General features: G+C 42.4%; 1 protein-coding gene and 1 long non-coding RNA gene across 4 annotated transcripts in view; one reads left to right on the top strand and one right to left on the bottom strand.

Moving 5' to 3' along the window:
* The window catches only part of LRMDA (leucine rich melanocyte differentiation associated), a 1,128,545-nt gene that overhangs the window by 679,308 nt on the left and 425,436 nt on the right, over positions 1-23,801 (bottom strand). The gene's annotated exons all lie outside the window — the stretch shown is intronic.
* LOC124902463 (uncharacterized) lies at positions 1,807-12,738 on the top strand. The gene is made up of 3 exons (XR_007062204.1): positions 1,807-1,853; positions 8,944-9,044; positions 12,652-12,738. It is a non-coding gene; the product is annotated as an uncharacterized LOC124902463 (long non-coding RNA).

Raw genomic sequence — 23,801 nt, 5'->3', positions numbered from 1 at the left:
GGAAGTACTCCTACACCAAGTACAGGCTCCACTAACGGCCTTTATCTCCACTTTTTGTTTTGCCTCTTGGCTTGCAGGAAGAACATGGATCCTTTTGTTTTCCAGGCAGCAAAATACAGAGCATAACTGCAGTGATGCACCAGCTTAGCAAATACCGGTTTCCTGAGAGTCAAGGACCAAATGAGTGGGTTGCCCTGCCCCAAAGTGTAACACAGAAAACAGAAAATCCCCAGTGAAAGTGTGTACTTACAAAATCCCACCCTCTCACCTAGATATCAAGGGAGTTTCAATGAATTAGCTTGCCAGAACTTCCTGGAAAAGGAGATTATCCCAATTTGTTCATCTCACAAAGGAATTGTGTGAATCCTATTTGACCCCTGTTTTTCCAATCTATGGTATGAATTTAGCTAGCTTTGAAAATGTTTTAGGGCTTACACAGAAATTTGTAAAATGTTAGCGTGAAAATTTTAATTGAGTTATTAGCAATATCTCTTCTTTGAATGACCTTTTAGTACTCCTTATAACATATCACCTCCTTTTACTACCTTCTGGCTGACAGTTTCTAATATATTCCTTCTTCCTAGATGATATCATCTGTCCTTGGGTGGAATTAACTAAAGCACTCTACATTCAGAAACTGACATTAATCCATAGCCCCAGATTTGTAACAGCTGCTGGTATAAACACTGTTTCCATATATTGGGTTTTAACAATGACTGGAAGAAACACATACTACTCATTGGACACTGATGACACGCAAACAAAGGAATCAGGCCGACAAACAGCAATGATTTTTTTAAAACATTATAAAATTAGCTTAAATATTATACCTACTGCATAAATCTACGAGAATATTGCTAACATCATGGAAATTTTATTTTCCTCTTAAGGATCACATGTGTAGAAGAAGCTAATCATACCAGGAAATTATAAGCATGAATGGCAAACAAGTTGTGAGTTCAAATAACTTTCTGATACTCAGTAAAGGAAATATAGAAAATACAGTCCCATGTTCGTCATAACCCAGGCATTTTGCATCATTCCAAGAAATGGAAAAAGTAAATCCACAAGGTATGTGGATACAGAAAGGTACATTCAGAGCTGAGAATCACCAAGCAGGGGAAAGGTAAATAAAACACCTCCCTGCAAAATTCCCAACCTCAATGGCTTTTCATAAGACCCCAAGGAACCCAAACCCCAAATCCTGGTGTGAAAACTACCAACAAAGGATGAGAGGTCACTTGCCCTCAGCCTCATCCCAGTCTCTTCCCTTCCCCCAGACCTTATATTCCAGTAGAAATAGGCATGTATACATCAGCGCAACAACAAGCAGTGACATCTATAGGGACCTGGCCGGCATTTTCCATCAGCACAAACCATGTTATTTAGAATCTGAGGCGGTAAATGACCATGGCTAATGCCAGACTGCTGATGCAGATTCCAGGGCTCAAGGCGGTTGGAAATTAAAGAGTGTCTACTCTAATTGTGTGGTAGGAACCTGGTGGTGGGAAGAGAGAGTTTCTAAGGGCAAAGGTACGCAGGGCTAATGGAAGCAAAATTCTGCAGCAGCCAATTGAGTGTTCGGGAGGTCCGATCCTTCTCCTGCTTCACCCCTGTGGTCCTTACACTCTGGGCCTCGCTGCCCCTTGTGAGAAAATGCCAGCCCACTCCTCACGCCGCCACCACCCTGCATCACTCAAGTTATAAGACTGACACCGCTACTGCATTAGGATATTGTGATGGTGGGCAGGGGATTGTGAGATCGGTTGAAGAGTAAGGCTATGTCTGTCAGAGTCACCTGGGGAACAGATGTGTCTCTGGATGAGAAGCAATGTCCAAGACAGCAGACCTAGGTAAGTGAAAGAAACGTCTCCGTTGGCCTGAGTTTGGAAGGGGCCAAGTATCTAGGAGGGTGCTCCTGGAGCTGGGAATTAAGGAACGCACCCACTGCATAGAAGCAGGAACCACTAAGCAAGGGCCCAGATGACCTGAGACAGAGATGACAGTCTCCAGAGCTCTGAGAGGTGGCTGGTCAAGTCAGCAGGAGAACACCTGGGGCCCTGGAAGCCAGCCAGACTACACTCCTGGTACCGTCTTTGATACAGGAGGGGGCAGGGAAGTGCTGGGTAGAGAAGGGTGGGGTCCCTGGTGAGGGTTTCACCCTTGGGCTTGTACCCATGGATCTAAGTGAGAACAGGCACTCCTGTTTTTACACCCAAATGTTGCATTTTCCAAGACCACTCTGGCCCACCATGCCCCCAATCCTGTGCTCATAAAAACCCAAGACCCTAGCAGGCACAGACACAATCAGCTAGACATCAAGAGGAGCAGAAGAGCACACCAACAGACACCAGCAGACACCACAAGGCCTTTGAGGCGGGATGACGCAGAATTCAGTCAGGGGCAGTCAGTGACGGTCTGAGGAGAGTCCAGCTGTTGGGTGGCCCTACCCCAGGGGAAGACCACCTTCCCACTCCATGCCCCCCTTCTGGCTCCCCATCCACCTCACTGAGAGCTACTTCTACCACTCAATAAAACTTTGCACCCATCCACCTCACCGAGAGCTACTTCTACCACTCAATAAAACCTTGCACCAATCCTCCAATCCCACATGTAATCTGATTTTTCCAGTACCCTAGGGCAAGAACACGGGATGCAAAAAGCCCTCTGTCCTTGGGATAAGCCAGAGGGTCTAATTGAGCTGATTAACACAAGCCACCTGCAGACAGCAAAACTGAAAGAATACACTGTAACATACGCCACTGGGGCTTCAAGAGCTGTAAACATTCAACCCTAGACCCTGCTGTGGGGTCGGAGTCCAAAAACACTCTTCATGACCTGCCCGTCTGCATGCTTCCCCAAGGGGTTTCAGCAGCAGGGCATCAAAGAAGCGAGCCACACCCCTGTTGCATGCCCTGTGAGGGGGATAAGGGAACTCCTCCGATTTCATCTTGACATCCCTGTGTCATCCCCGAGAAAGGTTCCAGTCTGCTTCATTTGTGCTAAGGATAGAGTGAGAAAACAGCTTATCCCTGGTACCAATGCGATTAGCAATGATCACAGGAAAATTGGGACAGGAGTCCCATCAGCCCCTCCCCTTCAAGAGAGTCTCACTATCTGTGGAAGGTTCTGAGTTTTGCTTTTACTAAGGAAGGTGGCACATTTTTATACTAACTACCTCCAGGTATTCAAAATGTACCCATCCTATTATCCTCTAAGCTAGTTTGCCTGTTAGACTAGGTTAATAGGTCCAACTATTATACCCTACAAGTAACATATTTCATTCACTCATGTTCTACTCAATTTACTGCCCGTTTAGAATGAGTCCAGCACTGCATTAGGTGTGGAGCTACAAACACAAATACAGTGTGATCCATGCCACCCAGGAGCTCACACGCAATCTAAGAAACAACCTGGAGACAGAGCCTTAACTAAAAGGGTAACTGTATTGGTGGGAATTGAGAGACTATGTCAGCTCTGGTATTTCAGTTCGGGAAGATGCTTTGGAGGATGCTTAAATCACTGCTGGAAGGCAGACACCTCCACTGCCCACAGACGAGGCCAACTCATGGCAGAGGATTCCAGGAAGACTTCAAGAAAGCAGTAACAAAGTCAGTTTAGCTCATTAAGGAAAGGGGACGTAAGCCCAGCAGAGAATGGGTTCCACCAATCCTGGTCATGCATCATGAAAGGCTGAGACTGTGGTGAAGAATATGAACTGGAGATTCAGGCAGACAGGTTCTAGCTGCAACTCTACCACTCTGGGAAAATTACTTATCCTAGCCAAGTCTCTGGTTTCCTGAGCCATATACAGACAACAATCCCTGCCCCTCCTATGAGTGGTGGACAGCAGGGGTTCTAAAATGTGGCTGGTGGGCCAGCAGCAGCTCTGTAGGAACTTGTTAGAAAAGCAAATTTTCACACTCCGCCCCAGACCTCCTGAATGAGAAATCCTGGGGGTGGGGCACAGCTGATGATGCACTTTAAAGTCTGAGAAGCACGGAGGCACTCATGAAAAGGGCTGGTGTTAAAGTGCTTCACAAAATGCCAAACACTAAGGAAGCACTTAATCGTAGTTATTGAATCTTGTTATGTCATGAGGCCCCCTGGGAAAGTCTCATAGAAAAGGACATGAAGGGAGGAGTTACTTTTGCTGAAGGTCAGAACCAAGGGAGAACTTCAAGAGCTCTAGCGTCCTGCACCAGAAGCCCCTGGGAGATTATCAAAATGCAGATCCCTGGGCTATATATCAGGCCCATGAATAGAAAGTTCTAGACTAGGACCTGGGACTCCGTAACCTCTTATGCAGAAGTCTACCAGGTACTCTGTGTGTTTGTCGGGGTTTTGTGTTTGTTATTGGGATATTTTTCTTTCGATTTTTTTCTTATGCCTGCATCTACCTTAAGATAGCTCCCGCGAGGGCCTCTCTCCTTCTCTTTCTGTCTCTCTCTTCTGAATTTCTACACTGGCTTCCACTACTGTCCCCTTCTCCAGCCTTTTCTCCCTTCCAGTCTATTGTTCTAAATCACTCCCTCAAGTGACATTTCTAAAATATAAATCTAAGCATATCACTTCCTGCTTAAAATAAGCAAATCAACTTTCACTGCCTCCCCAAGAAGGATTCCAATTCCTTAGCCAGCTCCCCAGGACACTCTTCAGGCTGACTGCAGCCTCAGCTGCACCTGCTTCTCTTCATGCCATGTGTCCTGCTACCAGGTCCAATCACTGCCCTCCAATCAGGCCTGATGTCCTCCCACCAGGGTCCAATCAGTGTTCCCCAGTCAGGTCTCATATCCTCCCACCAGGGTCCAATCACTGATCTACAATCAGGCCTCATGTCCTACCACCAGGATCCAATCACTGCTCTCCAATCAGTCCGCATGTCTTGCCACCAGGGTCCAATCACCGCTCTCCAATCAGGCCTCATATCCTACCACCAGGGTCCAATACTACTCTCCAATCAGGCCTCATGTTTTACCACCAGGGTCCAATCAATGCTGTCAAATCAGGTCTCATGTCTTCCCAACAGAGTCCAATCACTGCTTTCCAATCAGGCCTCATATCTTACCACCATGGTCCAATCACTACTATCCAATTAGACCTTTCTCTTTCTTTAAAAAGAAATGGCTGGCTGGGCACCGTGGCTCACGCCTGTAATCCCAGCACTTTGGAAGGCTGAGGCAGGTGGATCACCTGAGGTCAGGAGTTCGAGACCAGCCTGACCAACATAGTGAAACCCCGTCTCTACTAAATGCAAAAAATTAGCTGGGCATGGTGGCGCATGCCTGTAATCCCAGCTACTTGGAGGCTGAGGCAGGAGAATCGCTTGAACCCGGGAGGCGGAGGTTGCAGTGAGCCAAGATCATGCCATTGCACTCCATCCTGGGCAACAAGAGTGAATCTGCGTCTCAAAAAAAAAAGAAAAAGAAAAACAGAAAAGGAAAGAAATGGCCAAATGGCCTTGTCATCTTTCCCCATAAGGAAGAAGCCTCTCATCCTTCTCCAAACTCCTCAGTCACTGATTCTACCGCTGATGTGTTTTCTGTCTTCTTCACTAAACCAGCAGCTCCCAGAGGGAACAGTCTCACTTCTGTATAGTCTATACCTTGAAAAGTCTCACCAAAATTAGCAGGAAGCAGTTCAGAGATGAGGTAGTAACTCCTGTCACTGCATTATGCTTAACTGCCTGGCTAGGGTAACCACCACTCTTCTATCTCTCTCTAGAACACACAAGCTGCTGGCCATGGTAAAGGGAATACTGGCAGCTACCCTGTGCATGTTACCATTATCCAGGGGCTGGTGGATGGCTAAGTGATTGATATTGGCATGCAAGAGCTTCTAGGACGATGTGGCCCTGAGACTGAATAATTGCTCATGATTATATTCCCTGCCTATCTGCATGTGCACACACAGATGTGGCACTTGGATGGCCTTAGGCTCACTGAACTGAATTGATAGAAAAGGTGGAAGCCAAAATGTAACTTAAGTTGTTGTGCTTCTTTCCATTCATTCCAGTGAGTGGAGCAGAGGACCTCATCTTCTGTGACTTATCCTCTGTCATTAGTATATACTATTATATATTTGGGAGATGTATATATTTTATAAACCTCAGCTCACTGGGTGGCTTTGATCTTCTGACAGCCCTGTTAAAAATGTTGCCAACAGTTTACAGCATAGTATTGTAGAAACATCACTACACTATGGAGCCATAATACCTAGGTCTCTTGAAACTTAATTCTGCCTTTTATTAGCACTGTGACTTTAGGCAAGTCCCTAAAATCCTTGGGCCTCAGTTTCCTCATTCACGAAGTAGGGTCACTACTCCATGTTGGACCAAAATCACAGAGCTGCTATAAAGAATAGCTGATATAACAAAGAGAAATGTGCTTATTAAGTGTAACTCAGTATTTCTGTAACAATTCTGCCCCATTTTAAAATTTTATCCCATGTAGTTACACAGGTGTCTAGATGCCTGGCCCTTTTCTTCTTTTCTGAGAATGTGATGGCACTGTTGAAAATTCCTCTTTAGCTATTTTTCATTTTAGACTCTTGGCCCATCACATCATATCCCTTCTTCTGAAATCATCTTTCTAAAGTGTAAAATGCTATGGTCTTCTCTAACTCTTCTTGGCTATAAATGAGCTTGAAGCCCCTTCTTTCCCCCGACTTTTACTTAATTAACTTACATTTATTGATCAGAATTAAGTCTAAGGCATATGTACCCTTCATTGAAGCCTCTTTCAATCTACCACCTCTTGAGTTCAAAGAGGTTTGCTGGGGGTGAGGGTGGGATGTGGTAAGTATAGGGATGAAGAAGAAGGGCTCAGGTAAGGACAGGTGTGGGCCTCTGGAACACTTCTATAAATGCCACCACCTGGAAAACAGAGAAATAAGAGAAGGCTGTTTCATCCTAAGAAGTAGCACATCATTTGGCCATTCTACCCTTACCTGGAATCTTCCTCCACCCAACCCCACATCAGACCTGATACTATACAGTGACAGGAAAGCCATAGGTAGTCACAATTCTGCCACCTCTCCTTGCTGCTGTTCCCCGCTGATGACATTAGCTGGAAGACTGCCAGAGCTTAGAGAGAAAAACTAACCAAAATGATCATAAAGCCATTTGGAAATATACGAGTATGATCAACACACTAAATAATAATTATGCACTTTTGTATTCCCTGCCAATCTTCATATACAGAGTATAAATGTAACCTGCTCCAAATGAATCACCTAGTTTTAAATACCTGAGAGTTATAGCCCTGTGATTCTGACAAAGTAACCCACATATCTCATACCTCAGGTTTACCACAAAAACATTGCCATGAATTGAAACCCCAAAGAACAAAGCCAGTTGGAATTTTAAAACATTGACTTCATACTTTTCATTATGGCTTATATTCTTCTCAAATATTTCATCAAGCTTTTTTCCTCTCTCTGGTTTAAATCTCAATCACTAAAAGGAATGATTCGAAGGCAATAATGTAGAAACAAAAGAGGAGATTAAATACAAATTAAGCTTTCATTTGTACTGTTTTTCCAGACTGAATTAAAGTGATTGAGCTAACTTTGGTGTAAAGTAAATTTTACAGCTGTTAGAAATGATAGAATGTAAATTGGATTATACTATTTAAATATTTTACAAATAATTGAAATGGCATTCTTAGAAGTTATGTTCCAATATTCCTGTTCAAACACAGTAGATCATGTTGACCAGCTCTGGGTATTTATCTTTTCTTCTGCTTGATATTTCTTCCATTACCAAAATGAAACTCAAGGACATGCACCAAAAATAGGTCAGGGGCACCAGTTAAGGTGATGTGCATGCAAAAGCATGATTATATTATTTAACCTATTCAAATTAATTCATTCCAACAGATATTTATTGATTGCAGGGCATTGAGCAAGGTACTGGATTCAATGAGGACATAACCAGCCTTGCCCTGAATACACTTATTGTCTCTAAGAAGGAGAGAAGACAAGCCACATAAAATTATGCTACATAAAGCAGAATAATACAAATGTATAACAGGCGTGTGTTGCAGAAGAGGTGATGATTTAACAGGGTGGATTGGGAAAAGCTTTATGAAAAAGATGGCATTTAAGCTTGGACTTGAAGGAAGAATAGAATTTTTATAGGTAAACAGGCAAATACTGTAAGAAGCATGTATAAAAAGCAAAGGAGAAATAAATAGCTTCAATTCATGGGAACGAGAAAACATGTAACATGTTTGGAGAACAGAGAATAGAACAAATCAGCCAGGCACAGTGGCTCACACCTGTAATCCCACCACTTTGGGAGGTTGAGGCAGGCGGATCACGAGGTCAGGAGTTTGAGACCACCCTGGCCAACATAGTGAAACCCCATCTCTACTAAAAATACAAAAAAATTAACCAGGCATGGTGGCACACAACTGTAGTCCCAGCTACGCGGGAGGCTGAGGCAGGAGAATCGCTTGAACCCAGGAGATGGAGGTTGCAGTGAGCCAAGATCATACCACTGCACTCCAGCCTGGGCTACAGAGCGAGATTCCATCGTCTCAAAAATTAAAAAAAAAAAGAGAGAGAGAGAGAATAGAACGAATCAGAAGGCCCCAGAATGTCTGGAAACATAATGAGATGTTCTCTCAGTCTTTCAACCAACATTTATTAAGGAACCATGTACCCATAAGATCTGTGGGGAAATATAAAGAAAATAAAGCAACATCGCTTCTCTCAAGGAATTTATATATTAGAAGTTAAGACACGTAAAAAAACATAAAGTAGAAATTTAAAAGTACCGTACAGTGGTAGAGATGGGGTGCTTTGTCAAGTTAGTGGAGGTGAAGATCACTACTAAGCAATGAGGAGGAGGAATGCCTCAATGGATGCACATGTGAAGATGAATACATTCAATTCACTCATTCATTAATTTGCTCACTAAAAATATACATTTGCCTTCAGTTTCCTCAGATCTTGGATATTGAGCAAATGGAGAAACAAAGATGAATAAGACACAATCTCTGCCCTTAAGGAACCTGGTTTGATGAAAACAAAGGGTAAAGGTGAGTAGGGGAAGATAAAATTAGTAAGATAAGCTGATATCAAACAAACCCAGGGAGCCTAGGATTTTAAAACACAATCAGTCCGATATTGGGGAGCTTGTGAAGCCACTGAAGATGTCTGGGCAGAAGCTTTTAGAAGACTGGTCTGTGTCTTGGTTTGAATGCTACTGAAAGTGGAGCCTGAGAGGACACGGGGGCAGGAAGCTTATTTGGGAGATGACCCAAGAGAGCAGGAAAGGGAGGGGAGGAGGAAAATCCAACATCAGGGTGCATTATCAAGGTTGCTGCTCTTGGCAATGGGCATGACTCCTCCTCCAGTAGGCCCAAGAAGCATACGGAGGCCTCCCAGAGCTGCCTGCATGAAAGGTAAGAGGCTGGGCAGCAATCCATCAGCTTTAGTCCCCCATCAGTTGCAGGTTACCCCTGATGGAGGCACTGGCTCAATTGCACTTGCAGGCTACACTGAACTTATGCACAGGCTCATTTGGCTCCTGGGAAGGTCCTGGGGCAGAAAGAAGACAGACTCTTGCAGTAACTTGTGAGACACCATCAGCAGGAAACTAAGCCCATGCGAAACTCTGCATGGGAGCTGTCACTGAAACCAGAGGTGAGCCAAGGAGATGTAATGGGGGCCCCTAAAGTGTCTGCTAGAGTCAGGTGGCAGCCTGACTGCACAGCAGGGAAGAAGGGGAACAGCTAGGGGAAATGGTCATTGGCTAGCCTGGGAAAGAGAAAGATAAGAAAGAGCTGAAGGAGTGGTCGGACTAGGGAGATGGGAATGGATGCTGAAAATATCCTCACAGATTAAGCAACTGATAAACTATTTGGAGTTGAGGAGATACATCACAGATAACTGAGATTCTAAATCTTATGACAACAGAGAACAAAGGGGTGTGAGGGACCAAAGAGAAGTGAACACGAGAAGAGCAGCAAAGAGAAGATGATGCCCCGGAAAGTGGGACAGAGCTGGGGAGACAGTGAACTGGAAATCATCGGCATGGAGACAGGGGTAAATATCACAATTTTGCTACAAGCACTCTACAAGAAAGGGGGGAGTTTGCTAAAGATGAGACACAAAGAAACAGTGAATGGGGAGAGTAGACAAAGGATGAGACAGCAAGGAGAGATCACAAGGTCTAAGCAGACAGAACAGAGAATTTCAGAAGTAGAAGCTGGTCAACAGTGGGAGGTGCTGCAGAGAGGATGGAATGATAAGACCTAGAAGCGCCCACCAGATGCGGTGACTGAGAAGTCATGGGAGAGCTCCAAAGGACATATTCCAGTAGAGAAGGGCTTGTTCCAGAATCCGGACAACAAAGGTCTAAGGAATAAGGGAGAGAGTCAGTCTTTTGCAATGGGGTTTCCTCATCTGAATCACAGAATGTGATTCCTGTGACTCACTTCTTAATTCTCCCAAATGTCGTACATAACACATGTTTCTAAATGCAGAGAAATCAATTCATTATACACAATCAATGCCTTTTTCTACAAAGAGCCATCTGGTCTCTGCAGCAACTACTACACTTTGCTTCTGTAGTGCCAAAGCAGTCACAGGCAATACCAAAATGAATGGGCCCAGCTGTGTTCCAATAAAACTTTATTTGTGGACACTGAAATATGAATTTTATCTATTTTTCATATGTCAAGAATTATTTTTTTTCAACCTTCAAAAAATATATAAACCATTCTTAGCCCACAAGCCCTACAAAAAAAGATGGTGGCCACATGTGGCTTTCAGGTGACAGTTTGTCCCTTCCTTAGGACATCAGAGCTTAGTTATCACCCACAGCCCCAGGTGAGAAAGGCTGGTTCATATAAACGAAGCAGCAAGAGGGGAGAGGACAATAGTGTAAGGGACAGTTAGGATCAAGGATGTGTTTAAGAGTAGAGAAAGCACATAGAGTATGACAGATTCACAGGAAATTATCTTTGGAGAGGGAGAGTTGAAGACACATGAAAAAGAGGAGTGGTGGATCAAAGTTCTAGATGACAGAGGAGACAGGACAGAAAAGCGAGCCTGGATCAAGAAGAGGCAGATGGCTTCCCCTGAGATGGAAGGGGAGATGGGGAAGACAGGCAGGAACCAGATTACGGAGAACCTAAAAGCCAACCTGAAGAGTTCACACTTCATTAAGTGAGCAATGAGGAGCTGCAGAAAGTGTTTAGGCTGAAAAGCACAGCCCAGGAATCAGTAATGCACTTGGTTTTCCCACCACAGACCGAATAAATAAGCAAACACTCTGTGTATACATATTTACATAATGCAGGTATGACCGGAATAGAAGAAGCTGAAAATACGTGATAACAGGCTCTCTTGCTCAAAAACCTGCTCCACAAATGCATTCTGGGATGGAAAGATAAGACGAGCTAACATACTCAAAGACAGCTAGTTTGATATATCCATATAGAAATGTGCCCTCACCCTCAAGACGGAATATCACATATGGCAGCAATATGGGCCTGTATCAGGCTGGGGTTGGCCATGGGGTGCAGCATGGTAACCAGAACTAGGCTCCAGTCTCAACTTCATTATTAACCATCTGTATGATGCAAAGACAGGTAAATTAGCTTCTCTGGGCCTCTGTTCCTCAGGGTCAAATGGGGATTAAAATGTTCCCTGTGCCTCAAAGACTTGTTATAGGATCAAAGAGCTAGTGGATGTGAAAATGTTCTAGAAGTGTAACAGATGACATAGATGGAACACTGTCACAGAAAACAAGTTCTCTAGACCCCCATCCCTTCATATCTGAATCCTTCTCCCATTGGGCAACATTCAGTGATTTCAGGGGCACTCAACTTGGCCAGAAGACATCCTGCTTGCCTTACCTGTGACCTCCATTATTTGCCTTTACCCTTTTTCTTAAAACCTGTACATCTTTGGGAGGACAGGATGTCCTTTCTATAAGGTGTGTGCCAGGGGTGGGGTCAAGCCATTCACACAGGACGGAGCTGCATGTGTTAAGGACCCTGGTGGAGAAATCCTGGGTGAGACGGCACTTCAGCCAGGCCTTGAAGGTGAGCCAGGATGGAGAGAGAGAGGAGGGCGGGGCTTTCTGAGCAGTGGGACAGCACAAACTGCATGTGATCCCTTCAGTTACACCAAGCATCTGGACACACTGGGAGAAATCGCTAAACAAGCGGGAGAGGCTCAGGAATGCCCAGCCAACATCAGAGTCTAAGAAAGTGAAAAAACAAGAGTATCTTTTCTTTACACCATTCAAATTCTGATTCTGTTTTTGTAGCTGAAATACAAAAGACATAATGCTTTAATACTAGTAACAATCAGAGTTAATAAGAGTCTGCATTGGTGAAGCAGTGCAAATAATCCCAAAGCCTTACATTCATATAATGACAACGTTTACTAGGCATTCTCCTATCTCTTGACTACTTGGGCTATAGTATAGTCATGTAATACAGACAGTGAAAATATAATTACCCCCATTTCATAAAAAGAAAAAGGAAACAGGAGCTCAGAGAGGTTAAGTGACCAACCTGAGGTTACACAGCTAGGAAGTGTTAATGGGGGATTGGTGTGGGAACCTGGACTGTCTGCCTCAGAGCCCAGCATTGTCTTCATTCCCATCCACTCTGTCTCCTTGTTGAATAGGCCATGAACTTAATCTTTAGGGTGTCCTCATCCTCCTACCAAGACGACAGCCAACACCTCACAATGACAAAAGGAAAATAACAAGACAGAGCAAATCATAGACCAGAGGTAAGCAAACTAAAGCTCATGGGCCCAATCTAGCCCACCATCTAATTTGTACAGCCTGCAAGCTAAGGATAGTTTTTATATTTTTAAATGGTTAAAAAAAATCAAAAGAGGAATAATATTTTGTGACCTGGGGAATTATATGAAATTCAAATTTTGGTGTCCATAACACAGACATGCCCATTCATTTACAATGGACTGTGACTGCATTTACACTACAGCAGACTTGAATAGTTGCAACAGAGACTATATGGACCCAAAGCCAAAAATAGCTACTATTTGGCCCTTTACAGAGAAAGTTTGCTGACTGCTTCCAAAGATCATAGGTCTGCAAATCACAGCAAGGACCAAAGCACCTAGAAAGGGGAATCACAGGAGAAAACAGAACCCTAAATCCTGAGTCCCCAGATTTCATATATCTTGCTTGTAAAAATGGGGTTTTTAGGGATAAATTCTTAAAGTGTCAGTACCTTCCCACTGGGTGCTTTGGGGTTCCTTTGACAGTTTCACAACCAAAACAGCTTCCTCCAGTCACTTTAATTTCTCTCTAACCCCTCACCCTTCCCTACTGTGTCTACATGGGTTGAACCTCATTGCTTCTAGAAATGAAGACGCTCTGGTGTTAGCTGTAAAATCTGTATCATGGCTGGGTGCGGTGGCTCATGCCTGTAATCCCAGCACTTTGGGAGGCCGAGGCGGGCAGATCACAAGGTCAAGAGATCGCGACCACCCTGGCTAACATGGTGAAACCCTGTCTCTACTAAAAATACAAAAATTAGCCAGGCGTGGTGGCGGGTGCCTGTAATCCCAGCTACTCAGGAGGCTGAGGCAGGAGAATCGCTTGAACCTAGGAGGCGGAGGTTGCAGTGAGCTGAGATTGCACCACTGCACTCCAGTCTGGCAACAGAGTGAGACTCCGTCTCAAAAAAAAAATAAAAATCTGTATCTCACTTGCTCAGACAAGAGGATATTTATTGACAGGGTGCAGGATAGAGAAAGAAAGGAGAGAGACTGCCTGTCCAGACGGCAGTAACCTTGGTGGAGATGCAATGTCACCAGCCCCAAACCATCATTCTCACAGATGTACAGCATATTATTTAAAGGGAAACAAATATCAGCCACTGAATGTCATGGCAAGGACACATCTCCTGCCTCTTAACTAAACTTATCAGAGCTGCAGTTTAATACAGTTCCTTTTTCATCCTCCCCTCAAATTCATCTTCCCAGGCAGCTCTTGACACGACCAGCAAACAGTCAAGACGAAGATTTAGTGACGTTAGCTTCAAACAGATCTAGATTTATTGACATGTGGGCTGGCTTTCTCAGGAGCTGCAGTACACAGGATTAATTTTAACTGTTCCTTAATGTTCAGCAGTGCTTTGCAAATACCCAAATGTCTGGCCGTTCCTGGGTGAGGTCAATTTTCACCAGAAACAAGATCCTCAGCAGTGGCTTGCACTTTCTCTAATCAGGTTGGCCAGGTTAATTGACGTACTCTGTTTCTTAATAAGAGGGCAAAACCTGAGCAAACTTCCTGCCAGAACCCCTTCGCTTCTCATGCCCTCTCAGCTGCCCATGCCTCTCTCTGAAATCAGCAAAGAAGCAGCAAAACCAACAAGCAATCTTCATTGCTACCAAAGCTTTACATCTTGTTGTTTGCAAGCTCCCCACATGCCTACAGGTACTTGGATGTCTGAAGCCAGGGAAAGGCAGCAGCCAGCCAGTCCCCTTACAGGCTGAGTGTGTATTCCAGAGTTGTAGGCCACAAAGCTGAGTGTTGCCCATCTCCCACAAACACCTTTGATGAGCCCACTTGCTGTGCCACAATTCTGTGCTGTGTGGAGCAGAGGTGGCTCACAGAGCCATGGGTGGCCACTGGCTGCAGAAAAGCAAAATCTCCCTCTCTAGCCTTTCCATCCTGATCCCTCACTGCCCATATGACTAGTCACAGGGTCCAGGGTTGCCCAATAAGGGGAGTAGCCTGGGCTGCCAGCACGATGAGGAGGGGAAAAAATTGAATAGAAGAGAAGAAATAAAATCTCTGTCAATCCTTTTCTAACGCCAGACTAAAGAACAAATTTGCAGAGCTCTGTTAAAAGATTAACTACTAAATGAAAAAGAGCTACTAGACGTAAATTTAAAAGTCCAAAAACACCCAAGAGGCATAACTATAATTATTGCTGAGGGAAGCTCTTTAGGACTAAAAATACATTTCCATTAACAATCAAAATTAGTTTTCATTGCTTTTTTCTTCAGCTTTCAGTGAATAACCTTTGATGGTAGTACATGATAATGATTCATTAGAAAAAGTGAATTTGTATTTCAGAAGTATAAAGCAAAAAAAAAATTAGCCAAGAAATTATTCCTCCATATAAGTCAAATGGCAGGAGAAGGGAACATTTTTAGAATGAGTAATGGCTTCCTATAAAAGCTAACCCAGACGGCAGGTACTCACTTGAATATCATTGGACAACAGAGCTGACAAACAAATTTTTTCTAAACCTCCAGTGATTCAGAAGAACTGGTATGGTAAGATAACATCCTTTTCTTTAAATTCTGGCTAAAAATATACAAGGAAAACACATCATATCACCTCAAGAATTCCATAGATTTTAATCACCATAGAAGTGTGTCTAAAATAATATATGTAAAGAACCAGTGAGTCATGATTAATTTTTTCATATTTTTTATTGAGATATACTTGCATAATGAAATGCACAGATCTTAAGTATACAACGTGATCAGTTTTGACAAGTGCATATACCCATAGAACTACCTCCATTCAGATCTAGAACATTTCTAACTTGCCACTGTCCCACAAAGTTATCCTGTGGCTCTCTCCAGAACAAACTATTATTCTGCTTTCTATCACCCCAGATTAGTTCTAGAGTGTCATGTAAATGGAATCATACAGTAAATACTCTTGTGTATGACTTATTTCACCCAGCATGTTTTTGAGATTCAATTTTGATTAATTCATTTAAAACTTAGCTATGCAAAATTTTTCAGAGGCCAAATGATTTGGAGGGAAAACTGACAAGCAACAGTACTTTCAGGTAGAGGGTAAAAGAAAGAGGCAGAAAAAAAACAGATTTTTCTAGAGACATTTTAAACAAGGAAGAAAAAATTGAAGATTTTTTTATGTCATAAATCATTCTGAAAGGCTCTGGAAATCCTGTGATGATCTCTAATTCACTCACCTACCACAAGGAGGTATGATATAATGGCAAGCTGTACATAATTCATAATTCTAAACCTAATTATGATGAGTGGCCTAGAAATTTGATTAAAAATCATTAATTCTGCTAAAGAGCCTCAAAACAAAAATGAATATATAGAAAGGATAAAACTGTTTTGCTAGATGGATTATTCTTTGAAAATCTGAAGCAAGATGATAAAAGTAAATTATTTCAAAGAATCACTGCCAAATTGTAAATTGTAAAAAGCAAATGTTGAGTTACTAACATTAGAGCAGAAAGTGTAGCTTCCATTAAATGATGGAGATAAAACACAGTCTTGCACCCAATAAACAAACAATAAGGAAATTACAAGGGAAGGCCTTATTTTTTTCCTAAGGATGTGGTCAAATAGTATATTATAAACCATATTAATGCCACATGGGTTGAATGAAAGGGTAAAACTCCTTGGAACTAAGAATCCAGGGAGCCTGAGGTTCCCCTAGGCCTCTGTGTCTTGGGAAGGGTTAGGACTCACACTCAGGGGAACAGGAGGTTAAAGGGCTGAACCTGCATCATGTCCCATAGGTTCATAGAGCACATCCCATAGGTTCATAGAGCACATCCGGCTTCCTTCAGTCTTTTCATATCTATTATATCATCTCGTCTTTGCAATAACTTTGTTAGGTGGTATTATTAGAAGTTCCCTAACATTTACTATAGAGTTTTAGAGTATTCAAAATAACACTGCAAATATTATCTCATCCGGTTCTCAAGATAACCTTAAAGAGTAGACAGAGACCTTGCCCCGTTAAAAGTTAAGTCTTCTGCCAAGGTAGTAAGGTTATGCAGTAGCAGGCCTGAGGCTGTAAGTTGTCTATTGACTTCTAGTTCACTGTTCACATCACTACTATCTCATGCTGCAGAGAAGTAACATTAAACCCACATGATAGATGAGAAGACTGAGGCAAAGCTTCAAATCCTTAGAAGCTAGCTAATGGCAGGCCCAAAATTTAAAAACATTAAAAAATAATATATGGGAAAAATCAATTTTCGGGACTATTCTTCAGCTCTCAATGAAGTCTTTTCTTGTCTAGAGGATACCCAAGCACATTCTAAGTGTCCTTGCTCTGCTGAATTAAAACTAAAGTCAAGTTTCCCATCTGAAAGTAGCTGAGCCTTCCCTCTCTACCTAGCTCGCCACCTACTCATTGGAGTTGTAATAACTAGCATTTCATAATTTCCAGTGTCCAGCATTCTAAGCATTTACCAATGTTGTTCATTTTACCAAGGTTGTCTTCTCACAACAACTTTATGAGGTTGTATAAATATCATCCCCATTTTACAGGTGAGGAAACTGAAGCACAGAGCGGTAAATACCTTGACCTAGGCCACACAGCCGGTAGGCAGTACAGCTAGGACCTGAGTCCAGGTAGTGTGGCTCCAAAGTCTGCACCATTTACCACCAAGCTGTAAGAAAAGTGCTCATCCACAGAACACCAGATCATCCCCAAATTCTCTACTCCAAAGGGCATGAGGGTGCCAATGAATGCTCCACCATCTAAAATATAGATACAGTATATATTTTTGATTTCAGAGAGTGGGCTTATATGTGCAGACAGATTAAATAAATCATGATTACAACAGTAAACATGTAAATTCCGATCAATAACTACTTGCCTTCCCCTCCCCCCAACGCTAACAGCTGCAATAAAGCTTTAACTGTAAAGCGATGCACAACCAGCCATAAAAGTATGTAAAATAAATGAGGATAACATAATGAGGGAATCCAACATTCATCTCATAAATATAACATAACGACCACAACTAAAATGTCAGAGAATCTAATAAATCAATATGGTAGGACAGAGCTATCTTTATGTTCAGAATACATAAAAGATATATTTACATGCAGGGCTTTTTTTTTTATAAGCCAGGACCAAACAAAAAGAATTATAAGAAAATTAACCCTTTGTTTACATAGATGCCCTGGTCTGACGATGAATTTTCAACACTCCATTGGGTTCTCCCACATCGTTTCATGGTAAGAAATGGACTGCCCTCTAAGGCTGTAGACACCATGCTAATATGCAAATGCCACTGGAAGTGAAGCGAACAGAAAAACATCCTGAGGGTACTTTGAAAGGATCAATTACAGCCCTGATTTAGAATACTTCTGATCATGGTGATTTCTGGAACTTCCAGCTCATTTTATTAGCGCCAACAAACCCTAGGAGGTTTAGTTATTTCCCTGTTAATGCACTACCGATTGATGTGGATAAATCCCATAAATACTAATGAGGGTGACACAAGTAAATCTCCCCTGAATTAATGAGAACAGAGTCTCCTGGACTGACCAACATATCGCCTAATGACTTGAAATGATGGATTTATAAATTCTTCCAGGTTCTCCATGCATGCAAGCTGCAGAAATAAACATCCTTTCTCAGTCACCTCCCCTCATGGCCTCTTCTGGATTGAGGGGACCTAATGGGAAGGGACTGTGCCCTAATGGGAAAACAGGTAGTTCTTTCACTACCTTTTTCTTAATGAAATGGACATACCCCAAATGCAATGCTCCATCTTGAGTCTGAACTAAATTTAGGAAGTAAATAAAAGTATTTCCTGATAAAGTAGCCTGAACCCAAGTCCAAAAACACCAACTTCTCAGATATGAAAAATCATTTCATGCTCAAACATTAAACTGACTTAAGTGCGTGTGTGTGTGTGTGTGTGTGTGTGTGTGTGTGAACCCAAGGTTTTGATTATCTATTGCTATATAACAAATGTAGTGGATTTAAACAACCACTATTTTACCTGCCCATAATTCTGTAGGTTGATAGGGGCTCAGTTCTTCTACTGGTCTCATTTGAGGCCCCTCATGTATTTGTTGTCAGATAGTGGCATGAATTGGAACGTCCAAGATGGCTTCACTTATATCTCAAGAATCTTGGGGGGGATAGCTGGAGGCTGTGAGCTCTTTCTCTCCACATTGGCTAGGTAGAGCTTCTTTACCTGGCAGGTGGATTCTAAGAGCAAGCATTCCAAGAAGACCAGCTCCAATGTGCAAGCATTTACTAAGATTGTGCTTGCATCCCACATGCTAATGTCCCATTTGCCAAGTCCAGAGTCACCATAAAAGGGAACTAGATATAAAAGGGAACTACTAGGAAGTGTGGTTCATTGGGGGCCACCACAGTAAGAATCCACCATAACTAGCACCTTCCCTCTAGAGGGATAAAGACTGTTGCCATTATAATAGTAAATCCCAAGAAACTATCTTTTTTTTTCTTGTTCTAGTCTTTCACTTTAATATTCAATGACCTAGTGTTCTTACATTTAGGTAAGTAGGGAAAGAGAAAAAGAGAAGCATTTCACAATTTATAAACAAATAAAAAATAAAACTTCCTTTTTTAATTTGAAAAACTCTAGACATAGCCAGTGATAACACAAGGAATACTGCAGCCAGTCCCACTCTGCCTCTTGACTCTTGTAACAGAAGAACTCCATACAGCACTTGTTCTCCCATTATTCACACTTAACAGACCATTTGAGTCTTTCAAAGGACCAACTTTACACCTTTTTTCACCCAAGTGAGTAAAAAGGACCCCTATAAATGGATAAATCACGCTCCAACAATTCTCCCCTGAGGATACCCAGCTAATATGACCCTGCTTCACTGTAATAACCCCATGGGCTTGGTTAATATTTGCTGATTCCAATCCACCTGTTGGTATTCATCAGCAATAAATAATTTGTATGACATTTCAATTTTATCAAAGCACATCCCATTTGATGATTGGAACAGCTATCTGAGGCAGGTGAGACAAAGATTTATTATCGTCATTGGACCAAAATGAAAATGAAGCTTGTACACATTAGTATATAGTTCCAGTTTCCAGGGTACCTGACAGTTAACAAAATGCTATCTTATAACCTTATTTCTATAAAAATCTCTTAGAACCATCCTGAGAGGTCAATAATATCTTTATTAGCAGATGAGATAGAGAAATTAAATACTTGCCCCAAACCCCATGTTCAATAAGTGGCAGGTGCAAGCCAGGATGCTAGGTCTACTCAATCCGAGTTCTTCCCCAGTGTATAACAGGCAGGGTAAGTAATCTGTGGCCACAGAACTTAGGGCAGAATTAAAATTAGAACCTGTATCTTCTGATGGACACCCTGTCACCATCACTTTGACTCACATGCCTCAAAGCCTATGAGAAGCGTTCCAATGTTTGTTAGTAATAAAATGTATCACACAAGCAACATTGGGCTTCAAAGCATGAGTTAGAAACATCATAATGTGCCAGGTGTGGTGGCTCATGCTTGTAACCCCGGCACTTTGGGAGGCCGAGGCGGACAGATCACTTGAGGCCAGGAGTTCAAGACCAGTCTGGCCAAAATGGTGAAACCCTGTCTCTACCAAAAATACAAAAATTAGCCAGTCATGCTGGTGCAAACCTTTAATCCCGGATACTCAGGAGGCTGAGGCAGGAGAATCACTTGAACCTGGGAGGCAGAGGTTGCAGTGAGCAGAGATCGCGCCACTGCACTCCAGCCTGGGTAAAAGAGCAAGACACTTGTCTCAAAAAAAAAAAAAAAAAAAAAAAAAAACCAGAAACATCATAATGATCTAGCTTTCCAAGAACACAGGAATCGAGCGTAGTCCTCAGGCTCTAGAGATTACTGTTCAGTTGAAGCCAACAGCCAGCAAAGAGCAAGGTGACCTCTTGCACAAGGCGACCTCTTGGGCTCCTCTCATAAATTTTGTGAAATACTCTTAGCCAGTTTAGACACTATTTTTAATACTTCTAATAGCAAACAGATAGACAAATAGATCAACGGAACAGAATAGAGAGTCTGGTTTTCTGTATAATTAGAAATTTTATATGTAACAAAAACAGTATTTCAAAATACTTAGCAAAATGACCTAAAAACAAATGGTGTTGGGTCGAATGTATCCATTTGGGGAAAAATATATTAATTTTAACATCAACGTTAACATAAAACCATTCACCAAGGGAAAAAAATTCAATGGATCAAGGCCTAAAAGGTAAAATTAGAATAATCAAAGTTTTAGAAGAAATACAGGAGAATATGTTTACAGCCAAAAGGTCAGGAAGGCCTTAAATTAGACATAAATAGCATAACAGAGAAGACCTGTTTATTTGACAGCATCAAAATTTAAAACCTATATATAAAAAGGGTACCATAAAGCTGAATGGCAACAAATTAGAAGAAAATAATTGCAATGTATGAGGCATCGAGGCCAGATGTATGTGTGTGTGTGTGTGTGTGTGTGTGTGTGTGTGTGTGTGTGTGTGTATGCCCTGAATATATAAAGATGTCCTAGAAACCAATAACTAAAAGTCATGCAAGCCAACAGAAACATGAACCAATAATATACATGGGCAATTCACAACAAAAAAGACAATACATATGTGAAATTATTTTTCAAATTTGGCAGGAAAATGAAAATTGTAAATGGCAGTGAGATGTACCATGTCATACCCAAGAGACTGCAAACATTTTGAAAGCATGCTAATACCAAATGTGGGCAGGGCAGCTGGTCAAATAATACTTTCCATAAATCACCGGGAGGGGTGAGTACTGATAAAAATCACCACAGGGGCCAAACTGACAGCATCCAGTACCATTTAAAATGTGCAAACCCTATGATTAAGCAATTCCATCTCTTAGAACATACTCAAGAGAAACACCTGTACATATGCACAAAAGGCCCATAATAAGGCCATTCATTACTTATGTGACACCAAAAATGACCAACACCCAAAATGCCCATTAGAAAGCTAAGGATCAAATAAACTTTGGCATAGCCACACTATGGAATATTGCACACAAGTCAAAAAGTGCAAGTATATTTACATGTATTGACATGAAAAGATAGCTAAGACATACCTTTGGGTGTAAACAGCAAGCTGCTGAATGTATACAGCACTATACTTTCTTTAGCATGCATAAATAAACGTGCCTGTGGCAGAGAGGGATATAAATTCACAGAAGAAGCAGAAGTCAATGTAGCAAATTCCTAATGTGGTTATCTCTTCTGGGGAAGAGATTAGGGGTAGAGGAGCAGCCAAAAAGAACTGAGCCTCAGCAGTTAGTATGGAGAATACCTGTGTAGTTAAAATTTAATTTTCAATGCATAAAAAGACATGGCAGGGCAACCTTCCCTTCAAGCATTCTCCAATTAAGAGTTCATAGTATTTTCAGAAATTTATAGAACAAACAACAAGCAAACCAGATGAATGGAAAGGTAGCCATTAGAAAGGAGGGGGATGGGAAGTAAAAACAATGTAGAGCAAGGACTGTGGCATCAGCTGGCTAAGCTCTAATCCCAGCCTCTCCCACTCTCAATGGCATGTGACTTGGTCAAGGGAATGCTGCTGTTACTCAGCACACATTAAGTGCTATGTGAAGTATTAGCTAAATAAATGCAGCACAGAGTCCCACCTAGTTTGGGTGGAGAGCCTTATGCATTGTTAGGCTGTACTGTGATAATTAGTGGAGAGGGGGAAGAAGAGAAGATGGGGAAGGGAAGGGTGCGACAGGTACCAGAAGGAGCAGACATGAGCACATATGGATATATTTTAGCTTGTCCTTCCAAGGGCTCCTGCAAGCTATCAGCATCTTTTCACCGGGCCTAGCATGAGCTGCATACTGCCACTTACTGCGGTGATACAGGGTCCCCATGTGGTACCTGCTTCTACTGAGTAGACAGAGGGGCCAGGGCACTGCTGGTGGGCTGGTACGGGGGGGCCTCAGAATCTGTGCCCCACCTAGGCAGCCAGAAAGGTCACATAAAGCCAGCATCACAGCAGACAACCAGGCCTGGCCACCTGCACTCGGGACCCTTCTTCCATAGACTTTGAGCCATCTGGGCTGGAAGCCCTGAGAAAAATAAATCCTTTTTCTCTTTCTAATTAAAAATGTGAACAGGAATAGTAATCTCCATGAAACTACACAACTTGCTTAAAATCAGCAATCCCTGTAGGGCCAGTAAAACAGAACTGTGTGTGCCCTCCTGCAGCATTAGCGAAAGACAGCAAGCGTATGAATGAAGATCGTCTGAAAGACCTGTGCATCTTATGTGTATTGCTTCATGCGGTCATTTTACCCCAGGATAGTGTTCAGCTCATTTGGTGCTTTACTTCTGTATAAACAAGAAAAACATGATTTGCCCTGCATCTACAGTTTGCAACACTGCTTTATCTTTATGGCCTCCTTTAATTCTATGATCTCTATCCCCATTTCGCAGATGAAGAGATAGAGGCTCCCAAACCAATAGATTACTTTCACCATTATATTACATGTGAAAGGCAAAGTTATTTATTGGCCCTCTGGCAAGCCTCCTGCTCCTTTTGCTAGAAATGCTGAATCAATCCTTTGTTTGAGCAAACAGCAAATTCAGCTTCTCACTCTTCTGGGGATATCTTTTTGCATCTCTTTACATGGGGCATTCCAAGAGCCTTAGGGGGAGAGGTTTTCCCTCAAAGAGGACCTTCTCTCACCCACACCAGGTGGTGAGAGGATGATTTTTCTCTCTCTTTTTGTGACACCTGATGCTGACTGAACTGCCTGCATCAACTGGAAAGGAGGTTCGGAAACATGCCAAAGCCTCTGGCCCCCAACCCGCCAAGTTTCTTGGCATATTCTGAGGAAAAGAACAAATGTTTATCCTCTACCTACCTATGTGCCCAACAATCTGCTGGGACTTTTCCCTGTTATTTAATCCTCAGCACAAATCTGTGAGGGATGTGCAATGATCGATCCCCATTTATTGGATAAAGAAACAGAGGCTCAGAGAAGCTAACTTGCCAGAGGTCACATGCCAGGGAGTAAGTT

This window comes from Homo sapiens, chromosome 10, assembly GCF_000001405.40.
Source record: "Homo sapiens chromosome 10, GRCh38.p14 Primary Assembly".
Taxonomy (NCBI): Eukaryota; Metazoa; Chordata; class Mammalia; order Primates; family Hominidae; genus Homo; species Homo sapiens.
Note: the sequence above shows the minus strand (reverse complement) of the source record. Positions and strands in the feature narration are given on the sequence as shown.